General features: G+C 35.8%; 1 protein-coding gene across 3 annotated transcripts in view, besides 1 other annotated feature; it reads left to right on the top strand.

Moving 5' to 3' along the window:
- The window catches only part of DPY19L1 (dpy-19 like C-mannosyltransferase 1), a 109,161-nt gene that overhangs the window by 51,284 nt on the left and 33,587 nt on the right, over nt 1–24,290 (top strand). For all 3 annotated transcript variants that reach the window (NM_015283.2, XM_011515246.4, NM_001366673.1), the window contains exons 8-10: nt 13,153–13,244; nt 17,226–17,325; nt 19,787–19,864. In NM_015283.2, the coding sequence (NP_056098.1) occupies nt 13,153–13,244; nt 17,226–17,325; nt 19,787–19,864 (270 nt within the window). The remainder of the gene's footprint in view (nt 1–13,152; nt 13,245–17,225; nt 17,326–19,786; nt 19,865–24,290) is intronic.
- Nucleotides 13,439–13,508: a silencer, noted in NCBI's record as "silent region_18092". NCBI's record gives its function as "represses an Ori minimal core promoter by ATAC-STARR-seq in GM12878 lymphoblastoid cells {active_cell/tissue: GM12878}" and the evidence as "EXISTENCE:reporter gene assay evidence [ECO:0000049][PMID:35858748]".

Here is a 24,290-nt window from a genome sequence, read left to right as displayed (position 1 = left end):
ATATCTAATTAAACCATTTTTATGACCTACAACATATTTCTGACCCATATTTCTTAAATATTTTTCCACTGAACTGAGACTAAACTATAAACATACATGTTCCTAATTATTGAAATAGTTATGCCATTTATATAAGATTTGGAAAAGAATTCTTAGAGCACTTTGAAAACAATCTCATTAATTCTTATTCTTATATGGTAGGTATGTAGTGAACATTCCAATATCATAAAAATGGAAGCACTTAAACATTAAGTGATTGGCTCAAGGTTACCCAGCAGGGAGATGATTTTATTTATTTGTATTTTTAAAAAATTATTTGTTTTAACTTACAAATAATAATTGTAGATATTAGTGGGGTACAGTGTGATGTTTTGATTTATGTATACATTGTAGAAAGAGTCAATCAAGCAAGTTAACATATCTATTCCCTCACCAACTTAGCATTTTTTGTGGTGAGAATGCTAAAAATCTCTTAGCAATTTCGAAATATGCAATACATTAACTGTAGTCACCAAGTGGAACAATAGATCATTAAAACTTATTCCTCCTGCCCAACTGAAACTTTATATCTGTGGATCAACATCTGCACATTACCCATCTCTCCCCTGAGCCTCTGGTAACTACCTTTCTGTTCTCTGTTTCTGTGAGATTGACTCTTAGATTCCACATATAATTGAGATCATACAGTATTTGCCTTCCTGTGCTTGGTTTATTTCACTTAGCATAGTATCTCTGTCAGTTCCATTCATAGTGTCTCAAATGACATAATTTCCTTCTTTTTTTAAGGCTGTGTCATATTCCGTTGTGTATGTATAGCAAATTTTCCTTATTAATCTCTTTATGGACACTTAGGGTTGCTTCCGTGTCTTGGCTATTGTGAATAATGCTGAAATGAACATGGGAGTGCAGATATCTCTGATGTACTGATTTCAGTTCCTTTGTATATATACTCTGAAGTGGGATTGCTATTCTATTTTTAGTGTTTTTGAGGAAACTTACATAGTTTTCTAAAATGACTGTATAAATTTACATTCCTACCAACAGTGTGCAAGAGTTCCCTCTTCTCCACATCCTCTCCAACACTTATCATTTGTCTTTTTTGATAATAGCCTTTCTAACAGGTGTAGGTTTCTCACTGTGGTTTTAATTTGAATTTCCCCTATGGTTTGAGAAGCTGAGCATTTTTTTTTTTCATATATCTGTTGGCCATTTGTATCTTTCCTTTTGAGAAGTGACTTCAGATTCTTTGCCCATTTTAAAAATTGAGTTGTTTTGTTGCTATTGAGTTATTTGAGTACCTTATATATTTTGAATATTGGCCCCTTATCAGAGGTGTGGTTTGCAGATATTTTCTCCCAATCCTCGGGTTGACTGTACACTCTGTTAATTATTTCCTTTGTTGTGCAGAAGCATTTTAGTTTGACGCAATCCTATTTGGCTATTTTTGCTTTCCTTGTCTGTGCTTTTGCAGTCTTATCCAAGAAATCATTGCCCAGATCAATATTGTGGATCTTTTTGCAGAGAGAGGATTACAAGTTTCCTGATTCCCCATTAGTCTCTCCAAATACGAAATTCTTAGGGGAGTAGCATTTCAAAGAAGACATCACTATAATTTATCTTTTACAAATGAAAGGTGCAGAGACCTTTTCTTGCCAATTTGTGGACCTCTTACTTCGTTTTTCTTTCATTCTTTCTTCCCTTCTTTCCAGTGTTGGTAAGGTTTTGGTAAGGTTGGTAAGAAAGAAAGTCCCTTCTTCCCAGGTACTTTTTGATGCTTGAGATGTGCAAGTAAAACAAAGACTCCTATCCTTGTGAACAATCATGTGAATGAAGTGGGATAATCTTCTACCTTAAAGCAGGAGAATACTGGGCAGTAGCAAGGATGAGCAGAAAGTGATAGCGGATAAGGTCAGACAGTTAATAATTGGAGGTAGGATAGAGTGGGAGCAGATTTCTGTAGGTCATTATAGGGTCTATTTGGAGTGGATGGAATGCCACTAGAGGATGATGACTAGTAGAGTGACATGATTTAAATTATGTTTTACATGAATTTGGGAAACAGTGTAAGTACAAGATGTATAATTTTATGAAGGCTATTCACTGGTGTGTCTATGGATTTGTGAACTTATTAAACCTACAGTAACTTCAAAAGTTCAATAAAAACAGAGCATGTTAATCTTAGCAGCATATCTGCTGATGTAAATTTGAAAAGCAATCTACAATAGAAAAGTAGCCTACAACATCTGTTATGACCTTGCCCAGCTGGATTTCTGATTTTGTCTCACGTCACTCTTCAGGCTATTTTTGATTGCTTTGCTTCAGCCCTATTGGCCCTTCTTTCTTCTGTTTCCAGAAAGGACTATTCCTTTTCCTTCCTCAGGGCCTTTGCACATGCTGTTTCCTATGCTTTGTATATGCCTCTGCGCCCCTCATCTTGACGTGTGCCTAATTAACGCCTAGTCATCCTTCACAACTGGGCATTTCAGTTTGCATCTCAATGGTGTTCTTAATTTCTTCCTGCAGATCTGGATTTCCATCTGACATAATTTCTCTTTAGTTTTAAGAATTTTATTTAGCATTGTGATAAAGATCTGCCAATAAGTCCCTTAGTTTTTGTCTGTCTAAAAATGTTATCTTGCCTTCATTTTTTGAAGTATATGTTTGCTTAATAAGAATTATAGGTTGATAGCTTTCCCTTTCAGCACTTTAAAGATGCTATTCCATTATCTTCTGGCTTCCACCGGTTTATAAGAAGTCAGCTATAATTCTTATTGTTCCTCTGAATGTAATGTGTCTTTTCTCTGTTGTTCAGAGATTTTCATTATATATTTGGTTTTTATTGGTTTGATGGTGGTAAACCTAGACGTGCTTTGTTCATTGAACACTTTTGTTTTCTGGGTTGGTTTTTATTTTTAATCAGTTTTGGAAAATTTCTAGCCAAGATCTTCTTTTTAAATACTTTATTTTCCCCATTCTTCCTCTCTTCTTCTTTGGGGATTCTAATTACATGTATGTTCAACTTTTAAAAAATACTATCTCACAGATTTTTGACACTGTTCCTTTTTCTCCCATTTTTTTTTTTCTCTCTATTCCTCCCTTTGGGTATTTTCTCTTGCCATGTATAGGAGTTGGCGGTGCTTTATTCTGATGCATGCAGTCTGCTATTATCACTATCTGGTAAATTTCCATCCCTCCCTCCCTCCCTCTCTTCTTCCCTTCTTGCCTTCCTTTCTTCCCTCCTTCCCTCCCTTCCTCTCTTTCCCTTTCTTCCTTCGTTCCTTCTTAGAATTTCCATTTATTCCATAGAGCCTCCATTTTTCTGTTGAAATTTCCTGCCTCTTCATCTCACTAATATTTTTCTATACGTTTTAAAATCTAATTATTGTAGTTATTTTAAAGTCTGTTTTCTAATGCCAACACCTACATTATCTTGGAATTTAACTCCATTGACTGTTTTTTTTCTCTTGATAATGGGTCATATTTTCCTGCTACTTTGCATGTCTCATAGCTTTTTATTTTATGAAGACAATTTCTGTAAAAGAATGATGAAGGTTGAACTAGATAATCATTTTTGCTTCAATTTCCCTAAAAAGGGAACATCTTTTATGTCAAGCACCTAGGAAGAGAGACTGAGAATTTGGATCCCACATGAAGCCCTGCCAAGCAGGGCAGTAGTATAGTTTTAATTTGTTTTAGTTTACTTCCAGTTTCAAATGAATTACAGTGATTTCTTTTTTCTTTGTCTCAGTCTCCAACTTTCCAGGTGCTTAACTCAGGGGATGATTCCTTTGATCTTACCATTCTTTAAACTGGGAAGGGGTTAGTTTTCAGCTTTTTAGTTAATTTTAATCCATCTCCAGATTCAGCTGTGCCAAGGCCCCGAAACCAAATGCTGTGTGAGATTGTGATCTCACAGAGTTCTGACTCTCCCCCACTCCTCTTTATCTGCCAGATTCATGTGTGTGTATGTCTGTGTGTGTCCCAGGTTGGGGGAGGGGTGGCTGTCACAACAAATACTCATTTTTGTGTTTGTACCTTTTTCAGATTCTTATTTATATGGTTAGAAGTTGTTTGGTTCCAGCAAAGACTCTCTGCCTATGGCAGATCCTTACCTAAATTATGCAGTTGTTCCCAGGTGTGATGGTAGAGCCAACAGCTGTTCTGTATCTTCACTTGGGCTATATCTAGTTTCACTGTAAATCTTGTACTAAAAAGGCAGTACAACAAAAGTGCATTTTTCTTTACTGTTTTTTCTCCGGCTTTTTATTTTGAACAAATTGAAACTTACAGAAATGCTCTAGATTCAGTTTCATTTACCAGTTTTAATATTTTGACACATTTGCTGTCTCTCTTATACAAACACTGACACAGACATTTTTCTAATCCGTTTGAAAATGAGCTGCAGATATGATGCTGTCTCACCCCTAAATACTTCAGTATATATTGCCTAAAAGCAAGACATTCTACATAATCACAATACTGTTATCATACTTGAGAAATTTAACACTAATAATTACACAGTAATACCTTAATACAGCCCATATTCTCATTTTCATAGTTTATTCCCATAAATTCTTTGATGATTTTATTTTGGATCCAGAATCTGATTAAGGATCGTACATTGCATTTAGTTGTCATTTTATTTGGAAAAGTTTATCTCAAACAGTTTCTCTTTGTTTTTTCATGGCATTAACATTTTTGAGGAGTCTAATTATTTTGTAGACGTCTCACAATTTGGATTTGTCTGATTGTTTCCTCGTTAATAGATTCAGATTAGAAGACTATTTTATTTTATTTTATTTTATTTTGAGACAGGGTCTCACTCTGCTGCCCAGGCTGGAGTGCAGTGGCACAATTTTGGCTCACTGTAGCCTCTGCCTCCCGGGTTCAAGGATTCTCATGCCTCAGCCTCCCAAGTAGCTGGGATTACAGGTGTGTGCCACCACGCCTGGCTAATTTTTATACTTTTATTAGAGACAGGGTTTCACCATGTTGGCCAGGCTGGTCTTGAACTCCTGGCCTCACGTGATCTGCCTGCCTCAGCCTCCCAAAGTGTTGGGATTACAGGCATGAGCCACCACGCCCAGCCAGATTAGACATTTTAATGAAGAATATGGCACATATGATGTTGTGTCCTTTGCTTTGCATTACCTCTGGAGGCATGCAAAACCAATTTGTCCTGTTATTGAATTTACAAAGTTAAATCACATGGTTAAGGTGGTGTCTGTCATGTCTCTATTATAAAAATGCCCTTTTTTCTTTTAATTAATAGGTGAAATGAGGGATGATACTTTGAGACACTTGAATATCCTCTTCCCCCATAACATTTACCAACTGATTATGCATCCACTGATGATTCTTGCCTGAATTAGTTATTACATTAGCCATTGCAAATGGTAATTTTCTAATTCTGCCATTTCATCTACATTTAATGGTGTTCTATAAAGATAAATCCCTTCTCCTGCCATTTTATTTTATTATATTTGCATAGGGTTTTTTTAATTCAATGTTTTATAATCCATTGCAGTTCTTTTTGATGCTCCCATTGTCACAGATTTGGCTGGTAGTAGTCTCCCCACATTTTAATGATATATACTTTTCACACATTAAGATTTGTATATTTTAACTGTTCAGTGGATCTTTACATATGTATACAATCTTGTATCCAGGAACTAGATCAATGCATAGACTATTTCCAACCCCCAGGCAGGCTCACCTCTGTTCCTGTCCAATCTGTATCCCTCCCCATCCTTCAAAACTCTTCTATCTCTATCACTATTGATTAGTTTTGCCTATTTGGGGGCTTCATGTGAGTGGAATCATACTTTCTTATGCCTGAAGTCTTTCTCTCAACATATGTCTGTGATATGTATCCACATTGTTTTCCAAAGTGCTTGTACCAGTTTTCACTCCCATTGGCAATGTACGATAATTCCAGTTTCTTCTATCAATACATCCTTGTCAGTGCTTGGCTTTGGCAGTCCTCTTAATTATAGTCATTCTGATGAGTGAAATGGTACCTTATTATGGGTTTAGTTTGCATTTTCCTGATGAGTAATGATATTGAGCACCTTTTAATATGGCTTATCGGATTTAGATACTCTCTTTTGTTTAATACCTAAGTCTTTACCCATTAAAAAATATTTGGGTTATTTTATTCATATATGGGAACTCTTTGTCAATTCTGTGGAGTTCTTTATAGAATATATGTTCTACAAGTACCTTCTCACCACTTAACGACCTGTCTTTTCCTCTTTTTTCGTTTTTTGATTTTTATCTTTGTGTACACAGATCTTTTTGAGGTTTTTTGATGAAGTTCTTAATTTTCATGAAGTTCCATTTATCAGTCTCTTATGTTGAGTCCTTTTTGTGTCTGATTAAAAAAATCTTTGCCTACTGTAGGTCATGAAGGTTTTCTCATATTTTCTTTTAGAAGCTTGAAGAAAATATAAGGGAAAACCTTGGTGTAGCTTTCACATTTTGGTTTGTAATCTGTCTAGAATCTTGTATACAGTATGAAATAGGTTCCAGATTCCTTCCTCCCCTACCCCACCCCAAATAGGATGTCCAGTTAACCTAGTACCACTTGTTAAAAAGAAGATTTTTCCCCGCTGAATTGTAGTGGGCCTTGTATCATAAATAAAGTGACTATATAGTTTTGGATTTATTTTTACATTCTCAATTATGTTCTATTAGTCTGTTTATCTTCAAGCCAGTATCACACTGCCTTAAATATTGTAGCTTTATAAGTTCAATATCTCATAGTGAAGATCTCCAACCTTGTTCTTCGTCAGTATTGCCATAGCTATTCCAGGTCCTTTGTGTTTCCATATAAATTTTAGAATCAGTTTGTCACTACTTCCCTCTCTTTCAACACATACACAACTTGCTGGTTGTGTTTTGGATCTCTAGATTAATTTAGAATGGACATTCCTGAATATACTAAATCTTCCAATCCATAAACAGATTTATATTCGTCTCCTTTAATTTCTCTCAGGAATGTTTAATGTTTTTCACATATTTTATTAATCTCTAGATATTTTATGATTTTGGCACTATTTTCTGCCCTTTTGATATATCTCACTGGTGTCTGAACACTTCCTTTCAAACTCAAAAAGGTTCCAGAAACAAATTATTCTGTAATACACACAAAATAGTTTCAAAGTTACTACACTAATGTCATTACCAATAACAATCCTACCAAGTATGGTTCAGTATTTCTCCAGTTATTTTTCTCCTAAGAGTATATTCTACTAAGGAGGTATAGTCAGAATATAAAGGTTAAATAATTTAGAAGCAACCTGAATTGTTTTTATTTCTCCATGTTGTATTATCATTTTGACAGTGCAATTTGAATCATTTGTTTCTGTTTCTATTTATATTGCCTATATATCTTGGTTAATGCTTTCATTTTGTAGTCAGAATTTTGGTTATGTTGATAACCTTGAGCAGTGTAGTTTATAACCACATGATAAAGGTGGTAGAGTTGATACTGATAACATCTTGCCAGATATATTTTCTATTTTAGATGAATAAGCAATGGTCAAGTTCGAGTCATTGCAACAATGGATGGAAACATGGAGGTGTACTCACCGCTTTTTCAACAAAGTTTCACAAAGGTTTTTTGTAAATTTGGATAGGATATACTGATATCTTAGATTTTCAGAGACAAAAAGATCAATGTTTTCTGTCATACAACCAGCTGAAATTCTTTATAAAGATAGTACAGTTTAAAATAGCATTTACATATCACTGACACATTAAATCCTGTGTGAGCTAAAATTGTATTATAAGTTCAGATTGAAATATGTAACTGGTTAATTGAGCAGCTTATCAGTACAGGCTGTGCATAATATGAAAATCTGCAGTCTGAAATACTCAAAAAGTCCAAAACTTTTTGAGTGCCAACATGACTCTCAAAGGAAATTCTCATTGGAGCATTTCAGATTTTGGTTTTTTGGATTAGCGATGCTCAATCAGTAATTAAAATGCAAATATTCCAAAATTTGAAAAAATCTGAAATCCAAAACACTTCTGGTCCCAGGATTTTGGATGAGAAATACTCAACCTGTGTATGGTACAAAAATAGACCAAAACTCCAAGAAAGCAACCAGGCTTACTTATTATCAAGATACAGTGCCCTGAGATGCACAAAGCTTACTCCAAACTAAGGGTCTTCCTAAATAATGGAACTGCCCTAAGTAGCATCAAACAAGAGATACTCAAGCCATGTCTCTTAAACCTAGCATGTTTATGGTTACTATGTGGACAGCAGGATTCTTAACACCTATAACATTCTCTGAAGAGAGGTAGCATAACCTTCATGGTGCCAGCAGTCTTTTAAGGAAGCACTCATAAATATAGTGTTTAAAGCATTATTATAGTTAATATTAAGCAATATAAAGCAATAGTATAATCAGTATAGAAAAGCAGCAGGCAGAGGTGGGTAATTTGTTTTAAACCTAAACATTATAGTAACAAGTTAGGATTGATCCAGCAAATGGCAACTCTAGTAAAAACTCTTGGAATAAATCTTAAACATGATCTGTTTGATACTAATACTAACCACAATTTATAACTCACTAGTCAATTGTTCTTCTATTTATTTTGAAGTTATGAAGATAAATCAATTAGATCATACTGTATTCCCAATATTATAAGTTAATAGTTTGAAAATAGAGATTGGAAAATTAAGCTACTTTTGAGATTCCTTAGTTATTGATTCTTCAGTGAATGATTAAAAATTATTAAGCAGAAAATAAAAGCCTATTAATATCTACACAGTATTATGTTGCAGTATAATCAGTGTTATGAAATGTGTGCTAAAAATTATATACTAGATAGAAGTTTGTGCAACATAAGATTTTTATTGAATTTATTTTCACAATAAATGTATTTCTTATACTTAGAAACAACATACATTTGTATAACCCTTTTTTGAAGCAGTTCACATGTATATTTCCTTTAATTCTCAAATTTCAAAATAATGCCTTTAAAAAGCATTGGCATTTTAAACTGTCACACTTTTTATTTTACATTTAAAATGAGATAAAGAAAAAATATTTATTTTGTTGAAACGTAAGGCATGACTAAACCAAATCTCTTCACTATTTTCAAATTATATGGCATCATCTGGAATGGCAATTATGTTTGTACCAGACCTAGTAAAACACGTTGTGTTATTGGAGAAACAATAGAAAGCACTTTCATGGACATTTGAATTCATGTACTCAGAATTTTGGAGGGAGAAGACCTTGCCCTTCATTACAGTCCTGTAATTGGGTTTTCTTGTCCCTGCTTTCAGAGGATATAATTCAGTTTTGGTGAACTGAGTGACTATAGCTATTAAAAGCAACGAATTTTGGAGAAATGATAATGTCATTGAATGTGGGTAACAAATGTGGGGGAACTGTCTGCATGAAGAAAATTCTCAAATTGTACATTACATGGTTGGAATACTTGCTTGTTTGAATACTTGTTTTTGTACAGAGACTGATGACTTTACAAATTTTGATCATACAGGCATACTTCAGAGATACCGTAAAATGAATATCGTAATAAATCAAGTCATACAAATTTCTTGGTTTTCCAGTGCATATAAAAGTTATGTTTACACTGTACTATAGTCTATTAAGTGTGAAATAGCATTATGTCTAAAAAACAATGTACATACCTTAATTTAAAAATAAGTGGCTAATCCCAGCACTTTGGGAGGCTGAGGCAGGCGGATCACCTGAGGTCAGGAGTTCAAGACCAGCCTGGTCAACATGGTGAAACCCTTTCTCTATTAAAAATACAAAAAAAAAATTAGCTGGGTGTGGTAGTGGGTGCCTGTAGTCCCAGCTACTCGGGAGGCTGAGGCAGGAGAATCGCTTGAACCCAGGAGGTGGATGTTGCAGTGAGCCGAAATTGCACAGCTGTACTCCAGCCTGGGCGGCAGAATGAACTCCATCTCAAAATGCACAAACAAACTGCCAGTGATCACCTGAACCTTCAGCAAGTTGTTCAGATGGAGGGTCTTACTTTGATGTTGATAACTTCTGACAGAGGGGTTGCTGAAGATTGGGATAGCTGTGGCAATTTCTTAAAATAAGATAACAATGAAATTTGCTGTATTGATTGATTCTTTCTTTCACAGAAGATTCCTCTGTAGCAAGTGATGCTGTTTGATAGCGTTTTACCCACACTAGAACTTTCAAAATAGGAGTCAGTCCTCCCAAACCCTGCCACTGCTTTAGCAACTAAGTTTATGTCATGTTCTAAATCCTTTTTTGTCATTTCAACAATGTTTACAGTATCTTCACCAGTAGTAGATCCCATTTCAAGAAACCACTCCTTTTGCTCATTTAAGAAGCAACTCCTTATCCTTTAAATTTTATCATGAGATTACAGCAGTTCAGTCACATCTTCAGGCTCCATTTCTAGTTATCTTGCCATTTCCATCACATCTGCAGTTACTTCCTCCACTGAAGTCTTGAGCCCATCTAAGTCTCCCATGAGGGTTGAAATAAACTTCCAAAGTCCTATTAATGATGATATTTTGGCCTCCTTCCATGAATCAGAATGATTTTAATGGTATCTGAAATAGTTAATCCACTCCAGAAGATTTAAATTTCATTTGTCCAGACTCATCAGAGGAATCACTATAGCAGCTAGAGCCTTATGAAACATATCTCTTAAATAATAAGACCTGAAAGTTGAAATGACTCCTTGCTTCATGGGCTGCAGAATAGATGCTCTGTTAGCAGGCATGAAGGCAACATTAATCACCTCATCCGTCTCCACCCGAGCACTTGTGTAACCAAGTGCACTGTCAATGAGCAATAATATTTTGAAATGAATCTTTTTTTCTGAGCAGTAGGTCTCAAGAATGGGCTTAAAATATCTGGTCAATCATGCTAAAACAGATGTGCAGTCATCTAGGCTTGTTGCTCCATTTGTAGATCACGTGCAGAGTATATTTAGTGTAATTCTTAAGGGTCCTAGGATTTTTAGAATGGTCAATGAATATTGGCTTCAAGATAGTCACTGGTTGCATTAGGTCTAACAAGAGAGTCAGCCTGTCCTTTGATGTTTTGAAGCCAGCCACTGACTTCTCTCTGACTAGGAAAGTCCTAGATGGCATCTTTTTCCAGTAGAAGGTTTTTTCATCTGCCCTGTTGTTTAGTGCAGCAACCTACCTCAGTTATGTTAGCTAGATCTTCTGGATAACTTGCAGCGTCTACATCAGCATTGCTGTTGTACCTTGTACTTTTATCTTACGGAGATGGCTTCTTTCCTTAAACCTCATGAACCAACCTTTGCTAGTTCAAACTTTTCTTCTGCAGCTTCCTCACCTCTCTCAGCCTTCATAGAATTGAAGAGAGTTAGGATCTTGTTCTGGATTAGGCTTTGACTTAAGGAAATGTGGCTGGTTTGATCTTCCATCCAGAACATTAAAACTGTCTGCGTATCAGCAATAAGGTTGTTTCACTTTTAATTTCCTTCAATAATTTTTCTTTTGCATTTCTGACTGTTAGGCATAAGAGGCCTAGCTTTTGGCCTCTCTCGGCTTTTGACATGCCTTCTTCTCTAAGTTTAATCATTTCTAGCCTTTGACTTAAAGTGAGAGATGAACAACTCTTTGTATTAATTGAACACTTAGAGGCCCTTTTAGGCTTATTAATTTTCCTAATTTTAATATTGTGTCTCAGGGAATTTGGAGGCCCGATGGGAGGGAGACAGATGGGAGAGTGGCTGATTGGTGGAGCAGTTAGAACACACACATTTATCCATTAAGTTTGCCATCTTATTGGGCATGGTTCAAGGCACCTAAGGCAATTAGAATAGTAATATCAGAGATTACTGATCACAGATCACCGTAGCAGATATAGTAATAATGAAAAAGGTTGAAATATTATGAAAATTACCAAAATATGACACAGAGACATGAAGTGACCACATGCTATTGGAAAAATGGCACTGATAGACTTGCTTGATGCAGGGTTGCCACAAACCTTCAATTTGTGACAGACGTTATCTGTGAAGCATGGTAAAGGGCAATGAAATGTAGTTTGCCCATGTATCTTACTGTCAATCATACTGAACTCTCCAGTTAATCTAATAAACTAACAGCTTTTAAAAATTGCATTCTAGTAACAACAGTATACATTATCAGGGGACCTTTTCAATCTTTTCAGCATTCTCTTGTGTGAGTAGTTCATTCATAAATAGATATGTATGTCAGTTTCATAAAGGATGGTGAGCTTGTTAGAAAAGAGCAGTAAATTGGCTCAGTCTTTCTATAGCAGCACTAGAAATATTCAGTAGTCTGAGGTACAGCGAAAATATAGGAAACACTTATTTCTGACATGGTCTTTGTCATTCTGTGGAATCTTTTTAGGTACCCGTGCTTGCATTGAAAGACATCATTATTTTAGTGTGACTTAATAATATCAGATTGCTTGCATTTAATTGTATGCGGTTTTCTGTCGATGGAAGGATGAACTTACTAATATGTTTAGTCTATATACAGTAAAATGACATTATTACAACTGTGATAGTACATTGCTTAATTATGTCCAAAGTGAGCTTTTCAGAAAGGTTTATACTTAACAATTTCAGGACTTTTGTTACTTAATTTGATTACACTGCCTACTTTTAAATATTTTGCAACCCAGGGCAGCTTAGGCAAAGAAGTAAAACCAAAAATGGAATATTCCTTTGTAGCAGCACAGTGAATGAAAATACTAAAATTGATGACTAGAAAGAGTTCTCAAGTACTGGTTATGGATAGTTTTGCTGAAATTCATGGGAAAGAAGACAAACAATAGATAAATAATCAACTCAAAATATTCTAAAATTTGGCAGAACGTTTTCTTGCTGGTACTTTCCTCCCTTTCCTTTTAAGATGTAGTTGCATCTTTTTTGGTATTTTCTTCCTGACAATTCATGATATTAATGCTTTACATGATCTTAAGCCACATGTGTCTCTGTCAGTAATATTTGTCACATGCTAGTTTTGCTGTTTATGGAATAAAGTCCAGTAGTTTGTTTTACAACACACCGTTTAAATTATTTGTTAAAAATAATTTTATTTATAAATAGCAATTTTTACTTGGAATGTCTTAGTAAATTTAGCAAGTATACTATACTACAAATTTTTTTTTTCAGTGTACCCGTGTAATGTGGACACCACCTCTCCGTGAAAGCTTCTCATATCCATTTCTTGTTCTTCAGATGTTGCTAGTGACTCATATTCTCAGGTAACTTTGACTTAACCTTATTTCTTTTTGCATTAAATAATTTTAACTAAAATTTCTTAAGCTTCCATAATAAAGTGAACATAATAAAATAATTAACCAATATGATGCTGTTATTAGTAAAAATATTATAAGAGTGTAACTTAAAAATAGTATCAAAAACATTTCTTCTATCAGCCTTCTGTTCCTCCTCCTTTTTCTTGGTAGTCTACAGTGATTGCTTGAGAAGGAACAAATTGCTTTCACTTCTCCTGTCATTTCCACTTTCTCAAGTCTTCTTCTGTTACCACTGTAACCTCTTGAAAATGAGCAGAAAGAAGGTAAAGGCTGGTCATGCTATAGTGTATCCTGTAAGATACAATCCTTTGGGGCAAAGGATAATTCACAGAATTCACACTTCTCTCCCTTTCTGCTGACAAATATTGAATATAGCTGCCTTGCTCCAGAGGGTAAAAAGGAAACCAAATGGGGGCTATGGAAAAATGGAACAAAGCATGATAAAAATCTGAAGATGACTCAGACTGATAACTCCCTTCAGTGATCCTCCGAATTCAGAAGAACTTTGTTGAAGGCTGTTATGCCAAACCCTTTGGGCAATCTATTTCCCTCTGATTGTTACAGCAAGTATAGAACCATCACATGGCTTTTAGTCTCCTATGTAGTAGTGTCTTTAGACAGACCCTTCATAGAACATGGGATGGGTAATGTTTTTGCATTAGCTTTTTAAAGTCTGTGTAGCTCCAGCTTTATTGCTGTCCCCTAAACTCCTCTTTTATAGGGTTTAAAACTTCTTTAGCACCTTCAAATAAGGTGAACCTCTATGAATTCATAACCTTTAACTGTGCCCTGTTGGTTCTGAGGCATCTTGAGCAATGGTCCCTTCTCAAACATCTCTGTAAGAAGTGTTGTGCTGTAGGAGTCTTTGATTCACCACTACAGATGCTGTTTTTCCACATTCACATTCTTGACCGTGGCTTTTTTCTCCAGTATAGTGCAGACAGCAGACTGCCCATCAGTCTCTAGTTCCTTCCTGCTTTTCTACCTCTGCTCCTGTCTTAAATCCAGCAAAGGCAAACCTTTGATTCTTCTTTCACTCACTGATCCGATCTGTCCCTAAGTGGGCATGGGGATGCTGCTCCGGGGACTGAGCGCTGCTTCCTTTAGTCCATCTGTACCATAGAAGGTAGTGTTAGTTTCCTGTTGCTGTGTAGCCCATCACCACAAACTGGGATCTACTATCTTGGAGTTTTCTAGCTCTGAAGTTTTAAAATCAGGGTATTGGAGGTGCAACCCTCTTCCTGAAGGCACAGAGTGGGAGGGGAGAGAATCAATTTTCTTGGCTTTTCTAGCTTCTAGAGGCTGTCTGCATTTCTTGGGAGGCTGCCTGCCTTTCTTGGGAGACTGCCTGCATTTCTTGGCTTGTGGCTCCTTCATCTTCAAAACCAGCAATGGTAGATTAAGTCCTTCTTTGTCAGTTCACTCCAACCTTCTCTTCAGCCTCTCTTCTGCTTTTAAGTACCCTGTGGTTACATTGGGTCCACCTGGATAATCCGGGATACATTCCCTACTGTGAGGCCAGGTGATTAGTCATCTTCATTCCATCTGCAGCCCTAGTTCCCCTTTGCCATGCAACATGACATGTCCACAGGTTCCAGGGATTAGGACACAGGTATCTTTGGAGGCCATTATTCTGCCTACCAGGATGGGGCCTCTTCAGTTGCTGTTTCCTGCCTTCAAGAGCTGCCTTCTGTTGGGTTCTTCTCTGTTTTTGGCTCCAGGTGCTTCTGTGACAAGCTTTTTATGTTTTCTTTAGTCTCTTATCATTGTCTTTTTCAGCCTTACCCACGTCTTAATACCTGTCTTTACTTTTTGCTGAGAAGTTTTAGAGAACTTTCCTTTCTTTAGAGCCTTCTTCATTGTCTCTGTTTATATTCCAGTTGGCATTTCTGTTCTCATATTCCAGGCCATCTGAAGCTGCATCAGCTGCTGCTTTCACCACTCCTGGTTCAGATCCATCCCATCTTGATCTTCCTCGCCATCTTCATTGGCAGCTTATGACTTCTGATTGCGATGGCTTTCCTGGTTATGCCCCTTAGTTGTCATGGCTCCCTGCTTGCCTGCTGTGGCTATCTATGACTGGTTGCTTGGAAGTGTGGGCTTTCATTTTGCTTTCTTGGACACTGCAGTCTTTTTAGGAGGGAAAACCTGCTAAACCTCCTTTCTTGAAATTTTGGCAGACATCTTGTCTTTTTTCTGAAGGATAGTAACCTTCTCTCTATTGGCCATCTTCATCTTCTGATATTTCATCCTTATTACTGACATTGTCTCCTTTGGAAGAGCAGCCATTTCCTTTAGGTCTTGGTTTCTACCTATAGTTGACATATTGTGACATTAGAGGGAGGTGGTGGGTGGCGATGGCTTGGTGGAGGCAAGAAGAAGCTGAGCAGTGTTGATGCAGGCTGCAGTGCTGAGGATACTGTTACAAAACCAGAAAAGAGACTATTCCTTAATGCTAGGAATCATTTATAAATAAGGTTAGTGGTATGTTTTAACAAATTGGTTTTGTCCAGTTTTGAATTTTAAGCATTTTTAGAAATTCAGTTTATATACCCACCTAATAGTAGCACAGCTTAGCTTTTTCTTGGTTGTTCTTAGCTTTTTTTTTTTTTTTCATTCTTGGCAATATTTATGTTTCCATTTCTGTTGTCTTGGGTCAGAGCTATTTTGATCACCAATTGGATTTTCTTTGTTTTCTGTTCACTCCTATCTCCCCACAGCGCATTCTTTATCCAACTGCCAGATTGGTATTAAATTCTGCTTGGAAATCTTAATGTCTCTTGTTACCCATAAAATGAAAATCATATTTAGTATTCAAAAGCAGTAGAGAAATGCTTTATTTTAGATAGTGGCTTTCAAACTTTTGGACTATGATCTATGAGAAACAAGAAATAAGTTTTACACTGCGGCTTAGTATACACATACATGTATGCACACAGCTGAAACAAAAGTTTCACAGAATAGAACCCCTCGTAAGTAGGATATAGTCATATATATTCTGTTTCACTCTGCTGATCTGCATTTTTAAATGCTGAATTTTATTCCATAAGTTGATTTCATAACTCATTAAAAGGTTATCTGGAGTTTAAAAGTACTTTTGTTGGATTAAAATAGCAGAGAGGGATGTCCTTTGGAGAAGGGATACTTGGGGAAGTGAAGAAAGGCATGTCATAATGGTGCTCTATGCTCCAGGTAGGTTTATCTAGCCAGGATGTCTTTACTGTATCTGAGCTGCATACACCTCATCACCTCAGTATATCAACATGCACACTCCACTTCTGTGAAGATGGACATGTGTGGGGGCTTTGCGTTGGCTCACAGGTTTAGAGGATAAAATCATCTTACCCTCCTAAAAATCTCCTAAATTACAAGTCAGTACCAAAATGAGATCTCTAAAGGTTGCTTCAGAATGGACCCCATATCTTTTCCTCCACTTAACTTTTCTGTGTTCTCCTACCTGTGCCAGACCCAACTTTTTATCTCACATGCTTACAAAATCTCTCTCAGCCGCTTACCTCTTATTCTGCATTATTGCAGTAGTTGTCTGCCTAATACTTAGCACTTAGAATATGCTGCTATCATCTTTTTGTAGGCATCTTCTGCCTTCCTAATGAATCTGTTGAATCAGTATTTTTAAATATTCAGTCATGGATTCACCAAAATATAATTTGAAAAAAATGTTCATGGATATACTGACCCACCCTCCTTCTCTCTGTGTTATTGTTAGCAAATGGGTATTTACCTTTCAAAGAAAATTGTTGTAATTGAGTATCAGGAGGTATAATTTCTAACCCATTGGTTCATTTTATGTTTAGGTTGTGTTATAACCAGATCATATATATTTCGAGATTCTAATTTGCAGCAGTTTGGAGCCATGCTAGACTATTTCGTGTTTAAACTTACTAACACTTATTTTATCTTTTCAAGGGCTACAAAACTTTATAGAGGAAGCTTGATTGCACTCTGCATTTCCAATGTATTTTTCATGCTTCCTTGGCAGTTTGCTCAGTTTGTACTTCTTACTCAGGTGAGGTGATTATATTTTAAGCTGTTTTAAGCTTAGCATGTTTGACTATGTGAGCTCATTTGCATAAAATTACAACTGAGATATTCTATGGTTCTAAGTCCTAAAACACTAAAACATTTTCTAGGAAAAATGTTTTTCTAAAACATTTTTTAGAAATATTGAACAAAAGAAAGTTCAGGGTAGAGAAATATGTTGGATTATTTATTAATGATTGTTAATTATTTACTTCCTAACATAATGCATTTATTGAACTCAAATTTGTAAGAATGCTTATCTTTGTTATTCAGTATCGTTAAGTGCTTAAAAGAGGACTAGTGCTATAACTTCAAGTATTTCTCTTAAGTTAACTATAGTATTTCTGTTACCTAAAATGTTTCTTTTATGAATAGTTGTGTACATTCTTGCATGTAGAATAAAGACACATAGGATTACAGGATAAATAGCTAACCAGTTCATCTCTTATAAAATTCTCTCTACCAGTCTGGAAATTTATCTATTGTCTTTCCATGTACTCTTGCCCACTATAAATGGAGGTAGCTTGTTGAGAGAGGGAGTAAATTACATATTCATTTTTCTCCCTGCGTACTATTTTTTTTTATTGTACTGATATATTTGTATAAAGCAGTTGAAGAGTTGCTTTTTTTTTTTTTTTTTTTTTTTTTTTGCGATGGAGTCTTTCTCTGTCGCCCAGGCTAGAATGCAGTGGCGCAATCTCGGCTCACTGCAACCCCACCTCCTGGGTTCAAGCGATTCTCCTGCCTCAGCCTCCCAAGTAGCTGGAACTACAGGCACGTGCCACCACACCCAGCTAATTATTTATATTTTTAGTAGAGACGGGGTTTCACCGTGTTAGCTAGGATGATCTCAATCTCCTGACTTCGTGATCCACCCGCTTTGGCCTCCCAAAGTGCTGCGATTACAGGCGTGAGCCACTGCGCCTGGCTGCTTTTTAATATTTTTTAGAACATCTTGCTTGGGAAATGAAGTTAGACTTGGATTTGAGTCCTAATTCTATTCACTAGCCTCTTAACTTGGATAAAATAGTTAACTTTTCTTAGTTTAGGTTTTCTCATTTCTGAAATAGAGATAATAAAAGAACCTACTTTATTGGGTTGTGGATAGGACCAGATGAAGTAATGTATATGATTCTTAACACAGTACCTGGTACTTAGTAGGTGTCAGTAAGGTTAGTTGGTTTTATCATTATTTTTTAAAATAGGCTCTATTTGTACTTACTTTTTACTTTGATCTTGTCTTGTAGACTCCTTTGTCTAACTTAGTTCGATGACATTTTCAATCAGTTTCTGGTTTAAAATTGTCTCTGAGATTGTCTCTTGAAAATTCTACCCTGTAAATGTACTGTGTGTTGCTTAGCCCTTGGGGTGAAAAGGGAGCATTCTCATTGCTTCCTGATAGTGGAGACTGCCTGCTTTTTTGTGGAGGTAAGGGTCAGGGGAGGTATTTTGCCTCCCTGTGGGGCTTATGTTGAATAATAACACACACTTCCCCACAGTTGTTATGTCATATCAGGCACCCTAAGAAATGCAGTGTTCTCCATGGGTAACTCTGAATAAAGGGAAACTTTGTTGTTTTTCTCACTAATGGAAAAATTTGTTGTAGATTGATTTAGAGATTAAAAACTTGATGAATGAAACTTAAGTTATATGTTTAAGTATTCAGCTATTTTGCAATCTGTTTATGCTATGCTTTTGTAGTAGGACGGGAAGAATTTAATTTGAATTGCTTTCTCTATGAGGAAGGGTGTAGAGGCATTGTCTGCTATATTACCTCTATGTAATAGATACTATACCATCATTTAATCAATTAATTCATCTAAATAATTCCAGTACTCTTAGAATTATTGATATATAACATACAATTTTCTTCCAAATGGAAAAGAAAGTTAAAAATACCTTTGCAGCGAAAGTACTCTTAATTTGAAATTGATAAATTTGATTATAACTAACTCTTGAATATTTGTATTAATGAAAGAACATTAATGGAGATACTTGTAAAGAGTGACTAGCAAGCAGAAATTGAGGTATTTTTATGCACACATGCATTGCATAATTATTTTTCAGTTAAATGTACCTTCCCCAATTATGTATTAGTTGTCATGTTATAATTACATTTTCATCTTTTTTGATTGGACAAGGCACTTTTTAATTGTACATGTTGACAGTAGGGTTGACCTGAAGTTAAAATGAGTATTGTTTTGGACAGTTGACAAAGTAGACAATTCACATGATTGAGAAAGCTGTGTGTCAGAGAGAAAAATCAACCAATATTTTCTATACTAATATATTGACTATATTTAATAATAAATTGTCAGATAAAAGGAAAACAGAAGAACTCACTCTGTGTGTAGATATAAATCAGTTGAAACAACAGTAAATATATTCTTCATTCTTGTAGCTATTCATTTTATCTTTTTTACTTCTAATTTCTTTTTAAATTTCAGATTGCATCATTATTTGCAGTATATGTTGTCGGGTACATTGATATATGTAAATTACGGAAGATCATTTATATACACATGGTAATAATTTTTTATTGTTCTTTTCCATTTAGTTTGCCCTTAAAACTCCTGATTAATATTTTATTTGTTCATGGTTGAAACTAGTTGTAACAATTTCATAACTAAAACAAATGTTGTTCAAACATTGTGATATAATCAACAGACCTCATTTTGATAGACCACTCACAAAAATTTAATTTGGGTCATATTATCTGATTGAAGTTGTGCCCAACTTATGCAGTATCAGTAAAAGAAATAATTTATGAAACGGAAACATGGGGCTGATATATTATCCAGGAGCTGTCTGTTAAAATGAAGTAGAAGGGCCCGACATGGTGGCTCATGCCTGTAATCCCAACACTTTTGAGAGGCCAAGGTGGGGTTCACTTGACGCCAGGAGTTTGAAACCAGCCTGGGCAACAGAGCCAGATCTCATCTCTACAAAATAAAAAATTTTAGCATGGTGATGCATGCCTGTAGTACTAGCTACTTAGGAAGTTGATGTGGGAGGATTACATTAGCCCAGGAGGTTGAGACTGCAGTGAGCTAAGATCACACCACTGCACTCCAGCCTGGGCAACATAGCAAGACCATGTCTCTACAAAAAAGAAAAAAAGTTCATTAACTGAGCGTCAACTGTCAAGGCATGTGGAATACACCAGCATTCATATTACTACATTCTAACAGAGTGGGGGAAAGAGGGAAGACAGAAGATAAATAATAAACATAGTAAATGGGTAAATTATGTAGGATGTTAGAAGGTGATAAGGATTTGAGGCCAGGTATGGTGGCTTGGGGAGGCTGAGGCAAGAGGACATTTGAGCCCAGGAGTTTAAGACCAGCCTGGGTGAGACCCCATCTCTATTAAAAAAAAATACAAAAAAAGATTTTAGAAGAAAGAAAAGGTAAGGGTAAGGCAGATCAGGAGCACCAAGATCAGGGGGTAGGAGAATGGAAAAATCAAATGAGGTGGTCAGGGCAGGTCTTCTTGAGAAGGGGAGTAGAACAAAGATTGGAAGAAGGAGAAGGAGTTAGCCAAGTAGATATCAAAGAAACTGATCTCTAGGTTGGTGGAACAGCTGGAACAAAGACCCTAAAGCTGGTTGGTTGATGTTCTTGAATGGTTATCCTTTAAAAACAAACATTGTCTTCTCTCATTAGTTTTTATAATTTTGATGTTTTCTTTTCCTGTTAATTTTACAGTTGTCATAATATCCCATTATTTTCATTTTCTTAATAATTTATACATATAAAAGAACATTTATAATGTGTAAGGAAGTTATAAACACGGTCATAAAATAAACAACCAGGAGCCTACTCTCCAAATGGATAATAGAACTTTATTGTTACTTTTAAGTCCTGTATGCCCTGAGCTCATCCCCTCACTGTTCCTAGAGGTAACCACTATTCTGACTTTTTGAATTGTAATCAATTTGCTTTTCTTTATAACTTTACAATATGTGGATTACTAAATAGTACATATTTTTATTATTAAATGTTCACATTCTTTGTAAGGTTTATGCAAATGGCATTATTTTATAAATACCATTTTTTCACTCAGATTTCTGCTACTTACATGTAACTAGAATTCAAATATTTTCACTGCTTTATATTTTCCATCATATAAATAAAGCATAATTCATTTATTCATTTTCTTGTTGAAGGACATTTAGGTTCTCTCCTCTCCCCCCAGCTTCTTATTTTAGTTATAAATAATGCTGTACATTCTTCACATATCTCCTAGGGCACATATGTTGAGAGTTTCTCTAGGGTATTTACCTGGTAGTAAACTTGTTGGGTGGTAAATTATGTACATGTTCAACTTTATAAATACTAAATTGTTTTTCTAAAATGATTGGACTACTTCCAACAGCAATATATAGCAGCTTATGTTATTCTACATCCTTTTTTATTTTATCAATCTGGTTCGTGTAAAATGGTATCTTGTAACCTTAATTTGCATTTTCTCTGATTCATAATGAAGCTGAGCATCTTTTGGTTTGTTTATATGCCCTTCATGTTTCCATTGTTGTAAATTCCTATTCAGATCTTTTACCAGTTTGTCTTGTGTCCAAAAGAAAATGACATCTATTTTAGTCAATGCAGTGTAATCCATTATTTTTGTTATTTATGTTGATGCTCCAATTGTTCCACACTTGTCCAACTATTTAAGCTGACTTCTCTTTCCTTTTAACATGTCCTCATCATGCTTTGAGCACTTTTAAAAAGAAATTAATAAATGTTAAGTTTCATGAAATGCTTTACTACATCTGTTTAGATGAATCGGTGTATTTCCCCCTCTTCAATCGGTTACTATAATGAATTAACATTAATTAACTTTCTAGCATTAAATAAACTTGCTTTTCTGGGCTAAACACAATTTTTGCATGTCGCTGGATTCACTTTGCTGTCATGTTGATAGGATTTTTACATCCTTGTTCATGAATGAGTTAGACAGTAATTATATATTTTTTAGACTTGGCTTATTTTTTCCCCAAACTATTTAAAATAGTTTTTTATTTTGTAGTATAAATCAGATTAAATGTTAAGCCTTCAGAGTTGGCTGGTCACATAGGCAACTATGGCTGAGGGCCTTGACTCAAAGTTATAGTTATAAAATTATAAAATTACACAATGTAGTTTGCAGCAAAACCTACTTTGGGTAAATGATACATACTTTATTATATGACTTACTGTTTTCTATCTTCTTCCATTATCGTTTTATAAATTCCTAAATTCTTATAGTTATAAAAAGAAAAAAATATATAGAATTATTTCCAAAAAATTATTTTTCCATTTTTTATTGTGGTAAAATACATGTAACTTAAAATTTACCACCTTAAGCATTTTTAATTATACAGTTCAGTGATATTAAGTACATTCACATTGTTTTACAACCATCACCACCACCTATTTCCAGAACATTTTTCATCTTGCAAAACTGAAACTTTATACCCATTAAAGTCCTTATTCTTCCATCTTCCCAGTCCCTGGAAACCACCATTCTACTTTCTGTCTTTGTGATTTTGACTACTTTATATATGTCATGTAAGTGAAATCATACAGTATTTGTCTTTTTGTGACTGGCCTATTTCAATTAGCCTACTGTCCCAAGTTACTTCTATGTTGAAGCATGTCAGAATTTCCTTCCTTTTTAAAGCTAAATAATAGTCCATGGTGTGTACACAGACACACACACACACGCACACACACACACGATTCTGCTTATCCATTCAATCTGTCCATGGATACTTGGATTCCATTGTGTGTACACACGTGTGCACACACGCACACACACACACACACGATTTTGCTTATCCAGTTCATTCACGGATACTTGGGTTACTTCTGTGTTTCAGCTATAGGAAATAATGCTGCTATGAACATGGGTAAACAAATATTTTTTGAGATCTTGTTTTCAGTTGTTTTCAGTATGTACCCAGAAGTGGAATTGCTGGATTGATCATATGGTAAATCTATTTTTTAAGGAACTGCCAAACTTTTCCATAGTAGCGGTACATTTTACATTCCTGTAAACAGTGCACGAGGTTCTATTTTCTCCATGTAATCACCAACATTTATTTTCTGCTCTTGGATGGTAGCCATCCTAATAGGTATAAGGTGATATCTCACCGTGGTTTTTGTTTCTTAATTAAAAATCTTTATTTTTCAGAGAAGTTTTAGGTTTATAGCAAATTTTTTTTTTTTTTTTTTTTTTTTTGAGACAGATCTCGCTCTGTCGCCCAGGCTGGAGTGCAGTGGCACGATCTCGGCTCACTGCAACCTCCGCCTCCCGGGTTCAAGCGATTCTCCTGCCTCAGCCTTCCGAGCAGCTGGGATTAGAGGCATGTGCCACCACACTCAGCTAATTTTTGTATTTTTAATAGAGATGAGGGTTCACCATGTTGGCCAGGCTGGTCTTGAACTCCTGATCTCATGTGATCTGCCCACCTCAGCCTCCCAAAGTGCTGGGATTACAGGCATGAGCCACTGCACCCAGCCAGGTTTATAGCAAAATTAAGCAGAAAATACAAAGTTCCCATATACCCCCTGCCCCCAACCATGCACAACCTACCCCTCTATTGACATCCCGCACCAGAGTGGTACATTTGTTACAATTGATAAACCTACATCACACATCAGAATCACCCAAAGTCCGTAGTTTACGTTAGGCCTCACTTTTCTACGGGTGGTTGTTGTGTTTTGTTTTGTTTTTTTGATACAGGATCTTGCTCTGTTGCCCAGGCTGGAGTTCAGTGGTGCAAATATGGCTCACCACAGCCTTGACCTCCTGGGCTCAAGGGATCCTTCTGCCTTGGCCTCCCAAAGTGCTAGGATTGCAGATGTGAGCCACCACAATCGGCCTGGATTTTGACAAATGTATAATGACATGTGTCAACCATGTAGTATCTTGTAGAACAGTTTCACAGCCATAAAGCTCTTCTGT

The sequence above is a fragment of the Homo sapiens genome, chromosome 7 (genome assembly GCF_000001405.40).
Source record: "Homo sapiens chromosome 7, GRCh38.p14 Primary Assembly".
In the NCBI taxonomy this organism is placed as follows: domain Eukaryota; kingdom Metazoa; phylum Chordata; class Mammalia; order Primates; family Hominidae; genus Homo; species Homo sapiens.
The sequence above is the reverse complement of the archived record's forward strand: the minus strand, read 5'-3'. Positions and strand labels throughout refer to the sequence as shown.